General features: G+C 37.6%; 1 protein-coding gene across 24 annotated transcripts in view, besides 4 other annotated features; it reads left to right on the forward strand.

Annotated features, from left to right (window-relative positions):
* Positions 261–910: a silencer, noted in NCBI's record as "silent region_17963". NCBI's record gives its function as "represses an Ori minimal core promoter by ATAC-STARR-seq in GM12878 lymphoblastoid cells {active_cell/tissue: GM12878}" and the evidence as "EXISTENCE:reporter gene assay evidence [ECO:0000049][PMID:35858748]".
* Positions 440–20,315, forward strand: part of MIOS (meiosis regulator for oocyte development) — a 42,261-nt gene continuing 22,385 nt past the window's right edge. For 2 of the 24 annotated variants that reach the window (XM_047420507.1, XM_047420513.1), the window contains exons 1-6: positions 440–1,244; positions 1,582–1,679; positions 5,992–7,325; positions 7,654–7,752; positions 16,674–16,928; positions 19,192–19,361. In XM_047420507.1, the coding sequence (XP_047276463.1) occupies positions 6,032–7,325; positions 7,654–7,752; positions 16,674–16,928; positions 19,192–19,361 (1,818 nt within the window). In that variant the 5' untranslated portion in view covers positions 440–1,244; positions 1,582–1,679; positions 5,992–6,031. Of the gene's footprint in view, positions 1,245–1,581; positions 1,680–5,991; positions 7,326–7,653; positions 7,753–15,433; positions 15,449–15,584; positions 15,745–16,185; positions 16,376–16,673; positions 16,929–19,191; positions 19,362–20,315 lie in introns of those variants that run through there. The other 22 variants (NM_001370076.1, XM_047420514.1, NM_001370077.1 and 19 more) reach the window with 19 other exon arrangements.
* Positions 1,161–1,230: an enhancer, noted in NCBI's record as "active region_25641". NCBI's record gives its function as "activates an Ori minimal core promoter by ATAC-STARR-seq in GM12878 lymphoblastoid cells {active_cell/tissue: GM12878}" and the evidence as "EXISTENCE:reporter gene assay evidence [ECO:0000049][PMID:35858748]".
* Positions 2,808–2,867: an enhancer, noted in NCBI's record as "active region_25642". NCBI's record gives its function as "activates an Ori minimal core promoter by ATAC-STARR-seq in GM12878 lymphoblastoid cells {active_cell/tissue: GM12878}" and the evidence as "EXISTENCE:reporter gene assay evidence [ECO:0000049][PMID:35858748]".
* Positions 11,561–11,761: a silencer, noted in NCBI's record as "peak6360 fragment used in MPRA reporter construct". NCBI's record gives its function as "represses an SCP1 promoter by STARR-seq MPRAs in K562 erythroleukemia cells {active_cell/tissue: K562}" and the evidence as "EXISTENCE:reporter gene assay evidence [ECO:0000049][PMID:32103011]".

Genomic DNA, 20,315 nt, shown 5'->3' on the forward strand with positions numbered 1-20,315 from the left:
CTACCAAGTCAAGGCTCTCCTTGCCTGTTTCCTGCCGGAACCATGTCTTTTTACTTCACTCCTGTCTCCTCAGCATTCCAGCACAGTGCTGGGTACATAACAGGTGCTCAAGACAAGTTTGTGGAATGACTAATGAGTGAATAAATCATTAACCAAACACCTTGGATCTCCTACTACATCATTTGCAAAAAAAAAAAAATGTTTAATAGAAATTAAAATGGACCCAGTGAGCTAGAGTGTGTGACCCTGCTTAAAAACGACAGAGTGGTTCTGAGAAGCAGTCCCAGCCTAGGAACCCGGGGATCCGGCCTGTGGACCCACGGGCAGGGCCTGCGGGGTGCACCGGCGCTTTCGGGCGGAAGGCGGGGCCTCCCGGCCAGTGACCCCGCCCCGAGGCGCCTCCCGGGCGGGGAAGGGCGGGGCTCGCGCTGGGAAACTCCCCTTCCAAGGCCGAGGCGCCGCTGCGCGTCCTCCAGGCGTGGTGGTGGGGTCGTGGGTCCCAGCCCAGTGGTCCAGGTCACGGGCCGCACGGCCGCGGCCGCCATCTTGCCCGCGTCCGGGCTCCTGCGGCGGGCGGGGCGGTGTCCCGGCCGGAAGCGGCTGTGCGGCGGCCGCGCTGCCACCTCAGGTCAGTGAGCGCGACCCGGTTCGCGTCTCGACTCTCGGGAGCGCCGCGGCCGCAGCGAGGGGCCGGAGATAGCCTAGTTGAAAGGCCCGGGCGTCTCGGCGGGGAGCGCGTTCCGCGCTGTAGGGTAATCGCGCCGGGCGGCCGGCCGCCTGGCCGGGCCTCAGCGGGAGCCACCGGGGGCTGCGGGCGGCCGTGGGACCTGCGGAGACCTCCTCGGGGCGCAGGGAACACGCTACAGCCTTCGCCGCGGCGGGCTTGTGGGGAGCGGCGTCCCAGCCTTTCCCGGGAGGCTCAGCCAGGTGCCTGGAGCGGGAGAGTCGGACTCAGATTCCTGCTTTACCTAGAATAGCAACGTGCCCTGTTCCCGTTGTACCCTCTTAAATACTATACTTCTTAAACGGCCTGTCTCCCGGTGAGCTCTGTTCTCTTCTCATATGAGTAATGAAAATTAAGAGGATGAATGAAACCTCACACATGTTGTGGACTTTGCTGAATAGGTTAGCAAATGACTGCAGGCCTTTTGTATATTTTAAGGGAAATTTGGATATGTGCAGTGCATCTCCTCGAAGATGCTGATGGTGGAAATTTCTTGAAACCGCTCTCGTAATTTGCCACGGTAAGAAAAGTAAAAGACAACATCAAAAAGCATGTGGTTGGATCCTTTGTACACTGAGTAGTATTTTAATGTGTTGGACTTCACTGTCCAGTAGCCACATGGGATTGAGATGTGCTATAAGTGTAAAATACACATCGGATTTCCCAGAGTTGGTGCCAAAAAAACGTAAAAATCCTCAATAATTTTTGCATTGATTACATATTGAAAGGATAATGCTGTTGATATGTTGGCTAAATAAAATGTGTTTTTAAATTTCATTCCACCTAATTTTACTTTTTAAATGTGGCTACTAGAAATTTTTAAATCATATGGCTCACACTGTATTTCTTTTGGACAGTGCTGTTGCAAATATTCTGGTGAATGAACACAGAATCAGCATGGCTTTCCTTTGCTGAGAAATCACTGATGGGAAGTGAGACTTGTTAAACTTGAAAGGTGAGGATATAAATACAAGCTGTAATTATTGCAGACCGCACCCCTTCTACACCTAATTTTTTAATGTCTCCAAAATTTGGAAAAAACATTAACTTTCAGGGCTGATTAAGGGAATGGTAGTAATACTAACATCTGTGTGATGTGAAGAGCTCATTTCAGTTGATTGTCACAGCTTTGTGAGATGGAAATGGGATAGATTTTATCTCGGTTTTATGGTTTTGGAGTATTACAAGATTTGTTAGGATCTGAGCTGGGGAGTGGCTGTAGGATTTCTGACTCTAGATTGTTTTCTTTACACCAGATTCTTGGTGATGTATGTTCATGAGCAAGGAACTGTTTATCCTGTATATTACATGGTGAAAAAAAATACACTTCTTAAAAGGGTGGACATAGATGCACCTCTCTATACAGGGCTACTCTTATGATGTGCAACCTGTGCAGTAGCACAGAGCCCAGCATTTAGAATGGCTAGCACTTAGTTTAATGGCCAGTCTGCTGTCACTGTCTGGACATTGTAAATAATTTTTAAATGAGGGGCCCTGCATTGTTATTTTGCACCACGTCCTGCATATCGTGTAGCTGATCCTTTTCTTTGCAGTAATCTAGGACGGAAGTTGAGAGACCTTGGATAACCACCCAAACATCTGGTCTTCACTTTACTCCTTTGTGAAATTAGAAGATTTAGCTAGTCTTTTTCTCTCAAGTTTTGATTCTGTATGAATTACTGTCATCAGATTTTGTGGATGGCAATAGAAGTATTTTAGGTGCATAACATGGGAAGAAATGCTGATATTCTCCGTTGAGAGTCATGTAAATCAAAGTTTTAAATTTTATGCTAAAACTCGTATTTTATGTTTTGTAAGATGGATTTTTCTTTGTGGCATCAAGATTGCTTACCATAGACCATTGGTATAAAGAGTCGGGTTGTGGAATGAAAGCCTAGATAAAAAGTGTGTTTATTTAAACATTGATTTTTCAATGAGATGGGAAAATGGCCCAGATCTCATGATGTCTCCAATTAAGAGATTTCCTTTGTGGGGGTATGAGTATGAACCCTTATTTGGCAGTATCTGTTCCTCTTTGCTGTCGTAGCTGCTTCCTGTTACGTGAGGTGCCCCTCTTCCTCCTCATTCTTAAATTTTGAAACTCTTTTTAAGGTTGGACTTAATTTTATCACTACAGTGCAGGTTTTTTTTAGACCAGAGACTTCATCGGCTCATGTTTGCTGCTGTGTTCCCAGCTTCATAACCATGCCTAGAACATAGAAGGTGCCCAATCAATAGTCACAGAATAAATGAAAGTATAATAGCAGACATTTAAATCTTGGCCGGAGCCAGCCTCTCCTAGGGAGCGTAGAAGTGGAAGCATGAGGAAATAGGTAAAACTTGGAGATAGCAGTTGTGAGAAGTGTCAGAGGGATCATTCAGCACATGCATTTATTTAACAAATGTTTATTAACTTCCTACTAAGTGCCTAGCACTGTACTGGGGACTAGAGGTACAATGGAACACCAAAAATACTTCACCTGCTCTCATGGAGTGTATAATCCAGTAGAAGAGACAGAGATGGATGATTAAAGGGAAAGAATACTGTTTAATGACAGTGTATGTCTGAGTAACCAGACCTCGACTAGGGAGGGGATGGAGGGTGGTTGACGTCAAGGTTGAGCAGGTATTAACTTGGCCCAGAAGACAGGGAACTGTGCTCTAACCAGAGGAAACATCATTTGCAAAGGTATGGTGATGAGGGAGGAGGGTATATACTCTAGGAAGTGGAAAGGACAGTGTAAAAGGACAGCAAGAATGTTGTGCCACAAGGCCGGTGCAGTAGGCAGAGACCAAAAGCATTTAGGGTTTTGTAGGTTATACTAAGAGCAGCTGAAGACCATTAGAGGGTTTTAAGCAAGGAAGGATAGCCTGGTCAAGGTTGTGTTGTAGAAAGATTTTTACTCTGGTATTCTATAAAGCAAAATTTCTGAAGGACCAGGGGAAAGATGAATAAAAGAAAAGCCTCCAGCACCACACACCAGATATGTTGTATACCTTAATTTACTGAAATCAGTTTTCAGAGGCTTGAGACTATCCTCTGTGTGGTAGCACTTGGAAGCCTGAGTGAGGAGACAAGATGATAAATAATTGGGTTGATCTAGGACTGGGGAAAGGCAAACCCAAAGTGGCAAGGAAATGAAGACATTGAGGGTGCTAGTAAGAATATTGAAATGATTGATCTTGGGCTTGAGAAATGCTAAAGAAGGAAATAAAACCAGTATAAGAATTCCTAAATCAGTGGTCCCCAACCTTTTTGGCACCAGGGACCAGTTTCATGGAAGACAATTTTCTCACGGATGAGGGGTGGGGGTGTGGTTTCAGGATGATTCAAGCGCATTACATTTATTGTGCACTTTATTTCTATTTACATTGTACTATACAATGAAATAATTATACAACTCACCGTAATGTAGAATCAGTGGGAGCCCTGAGCTTGTTTTCCTGCAACTAGATGGTCCCATATGGGAGTGATAGGAGACAGTGACAGATCATCAGGCATTAGATTCTCACAAGGAATGCACAACCTAGATCCCTCTCTTGCACAGTTCACAATAGGGTTTGCACTCCTGTGAGAAACTAATGCTGCTATTGATCTGACAGGAGGCGGAGCTCAGGCAGCAGTGTGTGAGATGAGTGGCTGTAAATAACAGATGACGCTTAGCTCCCTTGCCTGCTGCTCACCTCCTGCTGTGTGGCCTGGTTCCTAACAGGCCAGGGAGCAGAACTGGTCTGCGGCCCTGGGAGTTGGGGACCCCTGGTCTAAATTATATGAGTCTATGAAGTTTTAGACTGGTAATTCCCAACTGAAACTTTTGCAAGATCAAAAAGAAAAGCAATTATGTTTGAGTTGAACTATTTAGTGTATCCTTATTAGGAGTCTATGCCAGGCTCTATATATGGCACTAAGGATAGAGAGGTAAGTGAACCATAGCTTTACCTTATGAGAACTGACAACAGAGTTGTACAGATGCCAATTGCAATGAAGATTTTAAGTATGTTCATTCTTTTTGAATCTATTACCTTTTGCCAGCCTCTGTTAGAAACAGGCATTTAAATTTTTGTAGGCAACCTTAATTATTGAAACACCATTTTTAACTATAGCTATATTTAGTTCGTGTGCTTCTACTGCTAGAATATTTATTTTTTTCAAAAATTCTACTTTAACACTTATTCAAAGTTTGTAGAAGCGAAAACTGAAAGAGCCTCTAATGATCACTTAATCCACTTTCTCAGAGTGTGGTATGTGTGTACCACTGGTCATAAACAGGATGCTTTGTAGATAAAACACAATCAAGCCTTTTTAATAGTTATATATTTCAGTGTAGGTTAAAAATATATTTAGCATAGCATACCATGATTCATGGACCTTATGAAGAGATTAAAGTCAATTTTCAGATTTTAAAAATGAGTCAGTTTAAAGAAAAATATTAATGGCATAGGTGTTACATGACTGAAGTTTGGGAAATACTAATCTAAACCAGCTCCTACATTGTGTAGATGAGAAAACAAAGGGGTTCCCCACACACAATGACTTTTCTGAGGCATATAACTAATATACGGCAGAGCTAGGACTAGAACTCAGGTTCGTTCAGTACATTCCAGTGTTTATTCTGCCATACAAGGCTGATGCTTATTACTAAAGTTGAAGAAACCGCTGTCTTAGTATGACATTGTACTTTAAATCTCCATTGTTCATTACGATGACCACATATGGTTATTTATATTAAAATTTGTTAAAATTAAGGTTTAAAATTTGAATTAGTCACATTTCTAGTGCTCAGTAGCTACATGTGGCTAGTGGCTACCATATTGGACAGCATGAACATGAAACATTTCTGTCATTGCAGAAAGTTTTATTGGGCAGTGCTGCTTTAAACTATTGCTTAGGAATATGATTCATAAGTTTTCCCCCCTTCAAAGGGATAATACTTATTAATTTGCTTACCACACTGAAGTTGTTATAACTCTGAAGTTAAGCTGAAGGTACTAGTAACAGTGCAATTAAGATAATTGATCATGGGAAATATAGCCAGGATGGGATTCTCAGATTCCTACCAGCTCATTTTATTGGAAGTGGTTGTTCTTTCTCCTTTTTTTTCAATAAATATTTTCTTGAATTCATAGCAGATAGAGAGAAGAAATACAAATATATTGAAAAAGAGGGTTCTTGAATAGAGAATTTTCTGACTTTCTGAATAGTTTATTCAACGTAAGAATTATATTTTGCTGATATTTTAAAACTTTTTATTTTTAAACATTTTCAGTGAATGGACCTGAGTGGACCCTTTGATCACATCAGTAAACATGAGCGGTACCAAACCTGATATTTTATGGGCACCACACCATGTTGATAGATTTGTTGTGTGTGACTCAGAACTAAGTCTTTATCATGTGGAATCTACTGTGAATTCAGAACTCAAAGCTGGATCTTTACGTTTATCTGAAGACTCTGCAGCTACATTACTGTCAATAAATTCAGATACACCCTATATGAAATGTGTTGCCTGGTATCTTAATTATGATCCTGAATGTCTGCTGGCAGTTGGACAAGCAAATGGTCGAGTTGTACTTACAAGCCTTGGTCAAGATCATAACTCAAAGTTCAAAGATTTGATAGGAAAAGAGTTTGTTCCAAAACATGCACGACAATGTAATACCCTTGCCTGGAATCCACTGGATAGTAACTGGCTAGCTGCTGGTTTAGATAAGCACAGAGCTGACTTTTCAGTGCTAATATGGGATATCTGCAGCAAATATACTCCTGATATAGTTCCCATGGAAAAAGTGAAACTTTCAGCAGGTGAAACTGAAACAACATTATTAGTAACAAAACCACTTTATGAGTTAGGACAGAATGATGCTTGTCTGTCTCTTTGTTGGCTTCCACGAGACCAGAAACTTCTCCTTGCTGGTATGCATCGTAACCTAGCTATATTTGATCTTCGGAATACAAGCCAAAAGATGTTCGTAAATACAAAAGCTGTTCAGGGTGTGACGGTAGACCCATATTTCCACGATCGTGTTGCTTCCTTCTATGAAGGTCAGGTTGCAATATGGGATCTTAGAAAATTTGAGAAGCCAGTTTTGACATTGACTGAGCAACCAAAACCCTTAACAAAAGTAGCATGGTGTCCCACTAGGACTGGTCTACTTGCCACTTTAACAAGGGATAGTAATATTATTAGATTGTATGATATGCAGCATACACCCACTCCCATTGGGGATGAAACTGAACCCACAATAATTGAAAGAAGTGTGCAACCTTGTGACAATTACATTGCTTCCTTTGCGTGGCATCCAACAAGTCAAAATCGAATGATAGTTGTAACTCCCAACCGAACAATGTCAGACTTCACTGTTTTTGAAAGGATATCTCTTGCCTGGAGCCCAATTACATCTTTAATGTGGGCTTGTGGTCGTCATTTATATGAATGTACGGAAGAAGAAAATGATAATTCTTTAGAAAAAGATATAGCAACGAAGATGCGTCTTCGGGCTTTATCAAGGTATGGACTTGATACAGAGCAGGTGTGGAGGAACCACATTTTAGCTGGAAATGAAGATCCACAGCTCAAGTCACTCTGGTATACTCTGCACTATATCCTTTTCATTGTGAATTTTGTGAGGTGAATCAGGTAGAAATGTTCTTGAAGTTTGCCAAAAGGTCAGTCTGTAAATATGCTCAATGTTTTATATACAAATACAAGTTACATAATACTAACATTATAAAGTAAAATTGTTCTAAACTTTCGAACTTGAAATACTGCTTTGTAGATTGTGTAGGAGGAAGAAAAGTGTATCTCTGCAATAGAGTCGAACCACCTTATTTACACTGATACTTATTATGAATTGGCTCCAAATCAAAATAAATTTAGCTTTGAAATATATTGTCATGCATCACTAGTATTTCCTATGCATTTAAATACTTATGAAGCAATACACAGAAGATATGGATCAGAAATCTCCAGGCAACAAAGGATCATTGGTTTATGCAGGAATTAAATCAATTGTAAAGTCATCGTTGGGTAAGAAAATTCTATTTCATTTTCTCCAATATGTTTATAACTTTTGTACTTTTATTTTGCCCCCTGTCATTTGGCAGAAATTATCTAGTTATTTCAGGATCATGTACATAATTTTTTTTGTTTTCTGATTGGATATTTCATTGTATTGTTGAGTTAAATGCATACTTGTATTTATATCCAAAACCCTTTTTGCAGGGAGTCTTAATTCTCTGAAGTGATGTTGATCTTCTTAAATCTATCCACACGTTTATTCAATGTTATTTTTTTGAAAACCCACTTTGAGAGGTTTTACACTAGACAATTTACAGATTACTGATTGTTAGTTCAGGTTTTATCGCAACATTTTGCTTCTTAAAAACTAAAAAGATCTCTAATTGAAGGAGATCCCTTTTTATTTTGCTCCTCAAATACTTTCATTGAGCCATCTAACAGCAAGGAGTATGATATGAAATATGGCCTAACGTGGAGGAATTATACCTGATATAGTCCTTGGTTAATTAGTGAATGAATTAATTAACGTGTGAGTTAATGTAGGATTGAAAATTGGTATGGTAAACTATTAAAGAATAAAAGTGACAAAAACCAAACTTTTTTTTTTTTCTGACTGCTTTAAACAGTTGTTCCTATTCTTTTACTGGAATTGAATAATGGGTTATATTAGAATTGCAGGTTGAGTATACCTTATCCAAAATGGCTTGGGACCAAAAATGTTTCAGATACTTTCAGATTTTGAAATATTTGCGTTATATACTTAGAGATTGACCATCCCTATTCTGAAATCCAAAATGCTCCGATGAGCATTTCCTTTGAATATCATCTCAGCACTTAGAAAGTTTCAGATTTTGAAGCCTTTTGGACTTCAGTTTTCAGATTTGGGATGCTCACCCTGTATCTCTGTGATCTAGGATTCGTTCTCTAACTTTTGGTAAGTCAAATTTGGGCCCAAGTCAAGCTGTTAGAAAAGTAGTTAACATTATTTAGTCAAAGAGCAGTAATAGAAGTAGTAAATCCAATTTGATTTTTTACGGAGCTTGTATCAGTACCATACAAACAAAATACAAAATAATAAAATATTTTAGAGTAGGTTAAGTGTTTTAATTAAACTGTTACATTATAGTGTTTTTTTAACGTCTTTCAAATTACTTTGGTTCACTTTACTGAAAGATGCAGTAGACTACTTACTGATCAGTTTGATTTTATTGTTTTTGTATTAGCCCTCCACCAAAAAAAGTAACCTTTATTATAAATAGTAAAATGAATAAGTTTAGTTAGAAGCTGCTGTTTTTATTAACATAGGTAAAAGGGCACACATACTGTTTTACTCCCACAAATGAACCTGGTACCATGGTTCAAGATTTTAGAGCCATTGCCTATTGCTACAAAGAATTAAACACCAAGTTTATAGAATTTATAGTGTTTTAGCTATATAGTAGATCAGGCCACACTGCACTCAATTATTTAGAGGTTGGTTATTGTGTTTTTTGTATTTTGATATATTTTAAGGAAAAGCCAGCATCTGAGGAAAAGCAAAAGGGGAAAATGTAATATGTTTATGTTTCTGGTGCACTAGAGACAAACTGAGTATCCCACCCCTGTGTCAAAATAGTCTCTACCCAGACTAAAGAAACACTACTGTTGGAAAGATTTCCTCATTCATCATTCTCTCATTGCTAGGTTTTCAGCTTTTTTTTTTTTGTTTGGTATAGATATTTTTGTTTCTACTACCCAAAGGTGAAAAGTAGAGAAATACTGTCAAATATGCCACTCTTAGATTTCAGTCTTCTGTTTTATTTGGCCATACCTTTTCCTCTAATTGTATCTCTAATAATCAACACATGGTAAGTCAACACATTGAGCCATCTTGTCCACAGTAACCTAATACACAAGTTTATTAGAGCATACAGCTAAATTTTAATTTTGGTAACAAATAGTATATATATAAGTGCTTGCTATGAATTAGTTGCTTTTCCCATGTTACTTTAATTTTTACAACTACAATATGAAGTAAGCTCATTCATTCAGCAAGTATTTATTACCTACATGCATGCTATATGCCAGGAGTTATCCTAGGAACTAGAGACATAACTCTCAAGAAGATACATAAATCTCTTCCCTCATGGAGATTGAGCAGGATCAATGTCATCCCTGCTCTTGAGGAGTTTATATTCTAGTTTAGAATATAGACAAGTAAGCTGGCAGTTATAACATAGGGAAGAACAGACAGTTAATTACAGGAAGGACTCCTAATCTGGTTGCAGGGATTAGAGGTTTCTCAGAGGAGGTACAGTTAAAGACAAGGTCCAGACAGGGAGCAGCATGTGCAGTGGACCCAGAGGGTAGAGAGCATAGCACATTATTATGGCTGAAACAGAGCATGAGAGAGGAAGTGAGGAAAGAATGGAGGCTAGAAAGGTAAGCAGTGGGCTAACTCAAGAAAGACTTAGAAATCATGTTAAGAATTTAGGGAGATTCATCTTGTAAGACGGGGAAACAGATGGATTTGTGACAGATTTGTGTTTTAAAAGGATCAAGATTGATAGTAGGGATATCAGATAGAAGCCTGCTGCAAGGAGGCAAGACGTGATGCTATCCTTACCAAGGTTAGTAGCAGAGGAGCTAGAGAAATGTGGATACATTAGAGAATAGGAGAAAATTTAATGATTAATTAGATAAAGGGGTGGAGAAGATGGAAAAGTCAAAGGTAGCACACATATATTTAGTTTGGGAAACTAGTTAATTTTAAGTATGTTAATTAGGAATAACACAGGAAGAGTATTTGGGTTTATTTTGGAGCAAGTTGAAATCAAGATGCTTAGGTAGAGACGTCCATTGGGCAATAGGATATCAGTTCAAAGCCCAGGGGAGGAATATAATGTATGTCAGAAATAAATGATATTTGATAGAGTAAATGGAATTGTTTGGAGTAAGAAAGAGATGGCTTAAAGGAGACTGAGGCAGATTGTCGAGAGATGTAGGAGAAAGATCTATATGACAAAAACCGCAATCACTTTTGTACCAACCTAGTATACATTCATGTGGAAGAGAGGTCAGTTGTCCGGTGCTCCATGCTTCAGATCCAGCCAAATAAGAACTAAAAAGGACTCACTGAATTTAGGACTAGGAGAAGGTCTTTCACTGGCGGTATGGATAGCAAATTGCAGTTATATTAGAAATTCAGAGTGGGTTGAGGAAATGAAGTAATCAATTATAAATACTTTTTTTGAAGGAATTTGACTATATAAAGGAGGACAAAAAGATACGCAGTAGGAGGAGACAAATCTGGAGCCGGGAGCTTTGTGTTGCTTTATTTCTGTTTTCAACATGGGATTAATTTAAGCATGTTTAAATGCTAATTGAAGGAAGCCCATAGAGGTTAAAGATGCAGAGAGAAGGGAGTGAAGCGAAGTTCCTAGAAATGGGAGGGAATGGGATCCAGAGCACAGGTTTCTTTAGCTTTAGATACAAGGGTGCACACCTCCACATTTGCCAGAGGAAAGGGGGAAAGGATGCTGTATGCAGGATGTTTGAGTTTCAATAACCAGAGGCTGAGGGATTTCCCATTTTATGGCTGCTGTTGAGAAGGAGCAGGGAGGTCGTAGGAAGAGGATATGGAGAAGAGGAGAGAGAGCTGTCTTGAGAAATATGGGAGGATTACTGGGTAACATTATTTTACCAGAAGGCAGAATAAAGGACAGTAGGGCAAGATAATTAAATATATTGGCAAGAGAGTGGTTCACTTGACCCTTGGGATCTTATTTGGATAGAGATGAAAATGAAGACAGGATAAGACTGATAAGTAAAAATAATAGTGGTGAAGACACTGCGAGGTTGTGAAAAATATAAGGAAGTGAGATTTTTGGAAGGCTATGTGGTTGTGGTTAGAAAGTAGGTCTTTTGGAGGAGGACAGTTTCAAGTGTGGCTGTGAAAGGAGTAGCTAAAGTCTTGGAGGTGTAGACCACTGGAGATAAGGAAGCAAAGGAACTGAGAGGCTAGTTTATTGAATGGGCTAAGTGCTTAGATCAACCAGGATGAGAAGAATGCATGCTCTGAGGGAATCTCTTCTACAGACCTGTATAGCAAGTTCACAGTGTTATTAGTAGGTATAATTCCTTCCTTTTAAGATGGCAGAAAGTTGTATAAAAAATATTGGCCTGCTTTAATCCATCATGAAAATAATATTTTTCATGCTTAAAGAGTAAACTCTACAGTTCCGGCTACTCAGGAGGTTGAGATAGGAGGATCGCTTGGGCCCGGGAGTTTGAAACCAGTCTGGGTTACATAGAGACCCTGTCTCTCTTTTTCTTTAAAACAAACAAACAAAAAGGTAAAATCTAATCTAGAGAACTGAGAATTTGTCTATGCAAAATGACTTCAAGGGGCAAAATAGCTAGGATTTCTTATAAACTGGATAATTGTATTGCTTAGTTACTACATAGATATTAAAATGAAACAAATTAGTAGCTACAAAGAGCATAGTATCTGATTGCTGATTTGAAAGAAATGTTTAAATCCTAATTTTTTTTTTTTTGGAGACAGAGTCTCTCTCTCTGTCACCCAGGCTGGAGTGCAGTGACACAATCTTGGCTCACTGCAACTTCCACCTCCTGGGTTCAAGTGATTTTCGTGCCTCAGCCTCCTGAGTAGCTGGGATTACAGGCGCATGCCATTACACCTGGCTAATTTTTGTATTTTTTGTAGAGACAGGGTTTTGCCACATTGGCCAGGCTGGTCTCAAACTCCTAACCTCAAGTGATCTGCCTGCCTCGGGCTCCCAAAGTGCTGGGATTACAGGCATGAGCCATCGTGCCTGGCCTAAACCCTGATTTTTAATGTTTAAATAAACTTGTTTTCCTCGCAGCCATCAGTAAAACGTTTTCTGTTATTTATGTATAGGACAGTCTCAAATTTAGGAGATAAAATTTTGTTACTTTAGTGGTACATAACATGCATAAATATATTTTACTTCGTTTTCAGAGATATATTAAAAATTTATATGTAAAACTCATAAGTTAAAACCCATGCTGACATCATATTGCTTATTTGATAATTCTGATAATCAACTGTAGCATAGTTATCAATAAAAAGATCTCTAAGCAGAAAAAATATGTGATACAATAACCATGTTCTTAACATGCAGGACATATTAATATTTCTACCTCCTAGCAGTGACCTCTTTGAATTCATTTTCAGTCATCTACTGCACAATGACGTTTCTGTTAACAATCGACTGCATATATAATGGTGGCCCCATAAGATTTAATACTGTATTTTAACTTTACCTTTTCTGTGTTTAGGTACTCAAATACTTACCATTGTGTTAGAGTTGCCTGCAGTATTCAGTACAGTAACTTGCTATAAAGCAGAGGTGTCCAATCTTGTCTTCCCTGGGCCACAATGGAAGAATTGTCTTGGGCCACACATAAAATACACTAAGAATAGCTGATGAGCTAAAAAATAAAAAAGTTCTTAAAAAATCCCCCCAAAATCTCATAATGTTTTAAGAAAGTTTACAAATTTGTGTTGGGCCGCATTCAGAGCTGTCCTGGGCTGTGGGTTAGACAAGCTTGCTTTATAGCCTAGGAGCAACAGGCCCATGTAGCCCAGGTGTGTAGTGGGCTATGCCATCTAGGTTTGTGTAAGTACACTGTGATGTTCATACAACAACGAAATTGCGTAATGACACATTTCTCAGAATGTATCCCTACTGTTAATCAACTCATGACTGGATTGTTCTCTATTCTGTTCCATGACATGATTTCTATAAAATAAAAACTCTTTGAGAAATTAGAATATTATTATTAAGCTGTAAGGAACCATTTGAAAAATAAATTGCTGATTTTTGCTCACCTGTTTTAAAATTGTATTATCACTAAATACCAGCTTTAAATCCAAAATTTATAGGAGAGATATGAAAATACACACCTTATAATACATCTCAGCCTCTACCTGAAATTAAATGACTGCATTCTGCCCTGACAATTTAAATTTGTTATTCAGAATGAATGTTTTAATTTTTTTAATAAGTGTTTTGTTAACTTTTATCATTAATCGTTAAAAGTTTTCACATTATAGTCCTTAAAAATCCACTTTCATAAGCTAAAAGTGATTTTGTCTTTGGGCTGACTCCCCTCATGGTTGCAAATAAAGTAGCATGCTCCTTCTTTTTAGTGGGTAGGAAGTGCTGTTAAAGTAAGAAAACTTTTTGGAAGTTTCCTCTTAACTCCTTGACCTGAATTGGCAATAGTTTCCAATAGTCAGGTTAAAAATACGTAACTTCAAGTGGAATTATTTAACTAATTTTTGTATTTCCAAAATTTTACAAATAACACATCTTGAAACTTTTTCATAAAGCAATCGGATATAATTTAAAATATGTACTAACATGCATAATATTTTAGACTTGCCACAGCCTAAAATCAGATAATCACACAAGGTTTTTAAAAGTATGAATTAGGTATAAAAGAGAGTTTAGACCTTTGACTATGTACTATTTTACCTTTTTTTTTTTTTTTTTAAAGAGACAGAATCTCACTCTGTCACCCAGGCTGGTGCGATCTCGGCTCACTGCAACCTCCGCCTCCCAGGTTTAAGCGATTCTCCTGCCTCAGCCTCCCGAGAAGCTGGGACTACAGGTGCACACCACCACACCCGGCTAATTTTTGTATTTTTAGTAGAGACCGGGTTTTGCCATGTTGGCTGGGCTGTTCTCGAACTCCCGACCTCAGGTGATCCGCCCACCTCGTCCTCCCAAAGTGCTGGGATTACAGGCATGAGCCACGGTGCCTGGCCTAAAATTTTTCTTAAAAATCATTTAGTCTGAATACTTGAAAAGAGTAAAAATAGGCCGGGCACGGTGGCTCATGCCTGTAATCCCAGCACTTTGGGAGGCTGAGGTGGGTGGATCACCTGAGGTCGGGACTTCGAGAACAGCCCGGCCAACATGGCGAAACCCGGTCTCTACTAAAAATACAAAAATTAGCCGGGTGTGGTGGTGTGCACCTGTTGAGGCAGGAGAATCGCTTGAACCTGGGAGGCGGAGGTTGCAGTGAGCTGAGATCGTGTGCCATTGCACTCCAGCCTGGGTGACAGAGCAAGACTCCATCTCAAAAAAAGAAAAGAAAAATTTTATATATGTAATTTAACTTGCAAATGACAAGTTTTTAATATTTTCTTATTTTTGCTTGTGTTTGTTTATGCCTTTAATTCCTTGACCAGAATGACTGTAGCTAAATTAACTTTGGTAGTGTATTTTCATTCATTTACTATCTCGTCATTTCCATGGGTCAGGAGTCTGGGCACACCTTAGCTGGGTCCTCTGTTGAGAGTCTCAAAAAGGCTAACCAGAAGGTATCAGCCAAATTGTATTTATTTCTAGAGGTTGGAGTGCTCTTCCAAGTTCATGGAGTTGTTGGCAGAATTCAGTTCCTTGCAACTGTGGGACTGAGGTAGCCATTTTCTTGAGGGCTAATGGCCAGAAATTGCTCTCAGCTCCTTAGAGGCTATTCACAGTTCCTTGCCACGTGGCCTTCTCACAGACCCTCTCAGAGCACAGCAGCTTTTACATCTTCAAGATCATCAGCAGGAGATCTGTCTCCTGCTGCTTCTCTCTTACCTCGAGACTGTCTTTCAAAGGACTTACTTAATTAGGTCAGGCCCACACAGGATAATCTTCCCTTGATTCGCTCGGTGAACTGAGTAAGGGCCTTAATTATATCTGCAAAATGCTTTCACCTCTGCTGTATTCTGTTATCTCGAGACAAGTTACAGATTCTACCTGTACGCAAGGGGAGGGGTTTACACAAGAGTGTGGTTGGCGGGGCGGGAGGGCGGGCCAGGACAGGAATGCAGCCGTTTTTAACAGTTCTGCCTACAACCAACAGGTTGAATGAGGAATTCTAGAAACTGTCTGCTGTTGATCTAGTTATTTACAAATGTATAATTGCAGTATTGTATGTAAATATATAAATATATAATTACTGTAAATTACAAAGGTAAATTACTACAAAAAATAAAAAGTTGGTAATGTTGGACATTCATGTTGCCTAATTCATAATTTAGTTTATTCTGAAAATCCTTTTTGTTAAAAAACATAATTATATAATGACAATTTTGGTGGTAAAACTTTCTAGAACATTTAAGAATTTGTTATTATAGTTCTTAAGTGTCATCTTTATTCGTTTTGACTTTATTTGGCACTAAGTATCATCCTAAGTGAAATTACCATGTCATTAGGATCAACTGCCTTGATTGCAGTATAAATAATGCTATGTGAAGGCAAGGGTTTGTTCTGAAAAAAGAATGAGAAATGAAGTTTTCTGATTTAGTAAGGGGAAAAATAGCCCTCAAGTTAGTCCCATTATATTTTAAAATTATTACTTACCTTAAACTTTCAAAGTACTTTGAAGTCTGTAATCTTGTTTTTTAATGTACAGAGAAAGAAGGAAGAAAGCAAGATCACTTCTACTGGATTTCAGACAGTAGGGATACCTTGTGAATAAAACAGACAAGACACCTGCCCTTTTGGAGCTTATGCGCTACTGGGAGAAGAGATAAGACTGAAAAATAAATTAATAAATGGGAGCACATATTAAGTGCTAAAGGAAATAGAGGAAACAATGGGTGGTGAGTTAGATAATAACAAGTATGTCTATTTTAGATTAGGTGGCCAGGCAGTAACTCAGTTTAGTCCATCTGAGCATTTGCTCTTATTTCAGTAGTTCTTTGCTAACTCAAGGAGCTACTGTACTTAAAAACATGCAAAATATGTTGTATTTGTGGCATAGTTCATATTTACACTATCATAAAATTATGGCCGAGAAGTTAAATATTCTAAATGTGTCAACATAGTTCTCTGTAAAACTGACTTACTTTCCAAATATATTTTGAAATAAAACAATATAAAAATGTTTTCTGTTTTTAGGAATGGTGGAAAGCAGCAGACATAATTGGAGTGGGTTGGATAAGCAAAGTGATATTCAAAATTTAAATGAAGAGAGAATCTTAGCTTTACAGCTTTGTGGGTGGATAAAGAAAGGAACGGATGTAGACGTGGGGCCATTTTTGAACTCCCTTGTACAAGAAGGGGAATGGGAAAGAGCTGCTGCTGTGGCATTGTTCAACTTGGATATTCGCCGAGCAATCCAAATCCTGAATGAAGGGGCATCTTCTGAAAAAGGTATTAGGTTATAAACTAAGATATTAGTTATAATCTAAGATGTTAGCAGTTCATGGAATCTTTTAAAGAAAAGAGGCTAATAATTTTCAAATATCTAATCACTTAAAATTTTAATTTAATTTTTGTTGGAGGAGAAAACACAGCAGTATATCTATAACAGTAAATACTTAGCTCATCTCTTATGCCTTGGTTTAGGGCTGTAAAAACAAAGATGTGTCTTAAATGTTAGTATAATATTATAAGGAGTGCTCAAGTGTGTCCATTTTCAATGTTTTCTCTTAAAGATAGTTCACATAACATTTTTTAAAATATATTTTCTTAAAGATTAGGGCTACTTTAGCCTACAAGTATTTTTACGATCCATATTTGAGTGTTTTAGTTTATACTTTCTTTGGGATGGTTATTGTTTGACCTTTAAGAAACTCTGAATGACACTTTTATTTAGGCTAATACAAATTGTTATAAAAAGCATACTTTGATCTTCAAATTGCTTCTTGAATCTGGTGATTAAAATACAGTTTTCATTTAGTATTTTTTAAAAAGAAAGAGATAAGGTTTTTTTACTCTGGCATTTTGCCAGAGGATCCTCGGAAAAACAAATCCTAATACAAAACCTCAGGGGTTTTTTTCTTATCAGGAATATTTCGCTTGGAAATAACTAAAATATATATAGCTATTGGTCTTTAGTACACCTAAAAAATAATTTTTGAATATTCAGAATACTGAATCCTTACTTGCTGGTCCATTTTGAAACCATTATAGTTTAGCTGTAGCATAGAGAAAAACATGAAATTCACTGTAATTTTTTTTGTAGTCTAAAAGTTAAAAAAGTCAATGTTTTGCTCAGATTGGCATCTTTTCCTTCACCTTTGCTCTAACAAAAGTCTCCCTCATTTAAGAGTGCAATAGAAAATAGGTGATGATGGAAAAAAGAATTGATATTTAAAGCCATTTCTAATTATAATTTTGCTATAACTTGAAAGGGTGATACTTTCCTATCTTGTGTACCTGGGAAATTTGGTGGTCGATTTAAACACCCATACTAACAATAGGGAAAATGTATCTTTCCAGTGATTTTAAGGACTGAAGAGAAGACTTCTCTGAGTCAAACATTCTTTTCCATTTAGAAGTAAATTGTTCTATACAAAATCCAAAGATACTTCTTTGCTATTTTTATTTTTATTTTAAAAGACCTTAAATCTAATGTATTAGGCAAAGGAAGCAAGCACAAAGTAACTTGGGAAAGTGTTTATAGAAATGAGGAATATAAAGCTGTTAAGAACATAAAGTGGGAAACACTGCTTTATTTGGAAAAGAAAGAAAAAGATTAGAATCAAGAAATAGATTAAGAAAACTTATATAATAAGTGTAGAAAATACTTAAAAGTCAAAGTTAAAGGAAAATTCAGTTTTTTCTTTTGAAGCTGAACTTCGGTTAGAAGACTAGGCAGCCATACTGCTGAAGGCAAAGTTAGCAGCTTATCAGCATGCATCTAAACTGCTAAGAACAAATGTTTAAAAGACTATTGGTAACAAATGCTTTCTTGCAAATGGGTCTAAATGCAGTTCTGTGGTAATTCTTGTAGTTCATTTTGTCCTGGAAAAATTGTAAGTGTAATACTGTAATTAAAGTATTGAAATATTACTTTCTGCACTTTGCATTGACACTTATATACATAAGTGTCTGCATTATATATTTAGGAATAGGAAAATAAAATGATTTTGAATATTGCAGTCTTGAGATGCAATATTTACTATAAGTGTTTTTGAAATACCTTTACATTAATAAACTTGTTAAAGTTGACAGTGATTCTGGTAGGATGACTTCACTTTTCTTCATTTAGTAAGCAATAACATACATATATGGGAACATACACAGGAATAACTTATATAAGACCCTGCCTGGATTGAGAACTTGAAAAGTAAAAGATCTGCTTCCCTGCACAGAGTTTGCACACATGGGCATGAGTTTTATAAGGGTAGAAATGTTTTGCTTATTGTCTTTGCCAAATTTTCCAGTCTGAATCAAAACCCAAACCCCCCCCTTTTTTTTTTTTTTCAAGAGTAAAGTGCAACTTTATTAAGAAAGTAAAGGAATAAAAGAATGGCTACTCCATAGGCAGAGCAGCCCAAAACCCTTATTCTCTGAGCTCATTTTTCTGAGGGTAAAAGTCACCCTCTGATTTCTATTTATGGTTTAAGAAATGTAGAAGAGATATTAAGCTTTTGATCACTTTGATTAGCTGGCTGTTTTTAATATGCAGGAGATCTGAATCTCAATGTGGTAGCAATGGCTTTATCGGGTTATACGGATGAGAAGAACTCCCTTTGGAGAGAAATGTGTAGCACACTGCGATTACAGCTAAATAACCCGTATTTGTGTGTCATGTTTGCATTTCTGACAAGTGAAACAGGATCTTACGATGGAGTTTTGGTAAGCTAACTTGTTTTTTAAGATCTTCCTTTGAATTAAGATAGGAGTTTTTATCTAACTTTATTAAAATTTTCAAATGTCTGTTGCATAAAATATTATATTTTTATGCATATGTTATTTAAAATAAGGCATCTTGGGCTTTTTTTTTGAGCAGCTCTTCTTGAGTGTGATTCCCGTCCTAGAGTTAGTTAACTGATACCAAACTGGATTTGATTTTTATGGTTTTAATATAATTTACAGATATAGAAGGAATAAAGATTTTATCCTTTAGCTTAAGAACTGAGCTGTAGAAATCTACAGCTGTGTAAACATAAAAATATATTCGCTGTTTACACTGTGCACACATGCACGTGTGTGTGTGTGTGTGTGTGTGTGTGTGTGTGTGTGTGTAGTTAAATAAAACAACTCACGATTATTGATCAGTTATGGTGGAGGTGGCCATACATCTTGTCCCAGTTAGTCTTTGTGGTTCCTGTTAGGAATGATAACAGTACTTACAGTGGACTATTTCAGCTTTTTATTTGGTCTTTGTGTTATTCTTTTTCTCTTCTGTTTTAACCACCTGTGATCATAACACAATCAAATAGGTTCTTTATCACAAAACGGGGAAAGAAAGAATGAAGTGAGATTTGCTTACCAGTTTTAGCTATTGGGTTTTAAGCTAAACAATAGTACTACAACTTTCTTTGCACTACTTGGCTTCTTTCTAGCAGTGGGAAGAACTTTCTACACTGAAATTCATTTCTGTGTTTGCTACTGTACCATTTCTTATCAATTATACATTTCTTGAATAAGTGATTTAAGGATTAGTCCCTAAGAATTTGTAAAAATATGTATTTTATTGGAGCAGCTTAATGAAATGTTTAATAAATGTGTATTTTGCACTTTATGTACTTTATTACTTTTAATAAATTACTATTGAACTTTTTCTGACCAATTCAAATTAATACGTAT

The sequence above is a fragment of the Homo sapiens genome, chromosome 7, assembly GCF_000001405.40.
Source record: "Homo sapiens chromosome 7, GRCh38.p14 Primary Assembly".
NCBI classification, from domain to species: domain Eukaryota; kingdom Metazoa; phylum Chordata; class Mammalia; order Primates; family Hominidae; genus Homo; species Homo sapiens.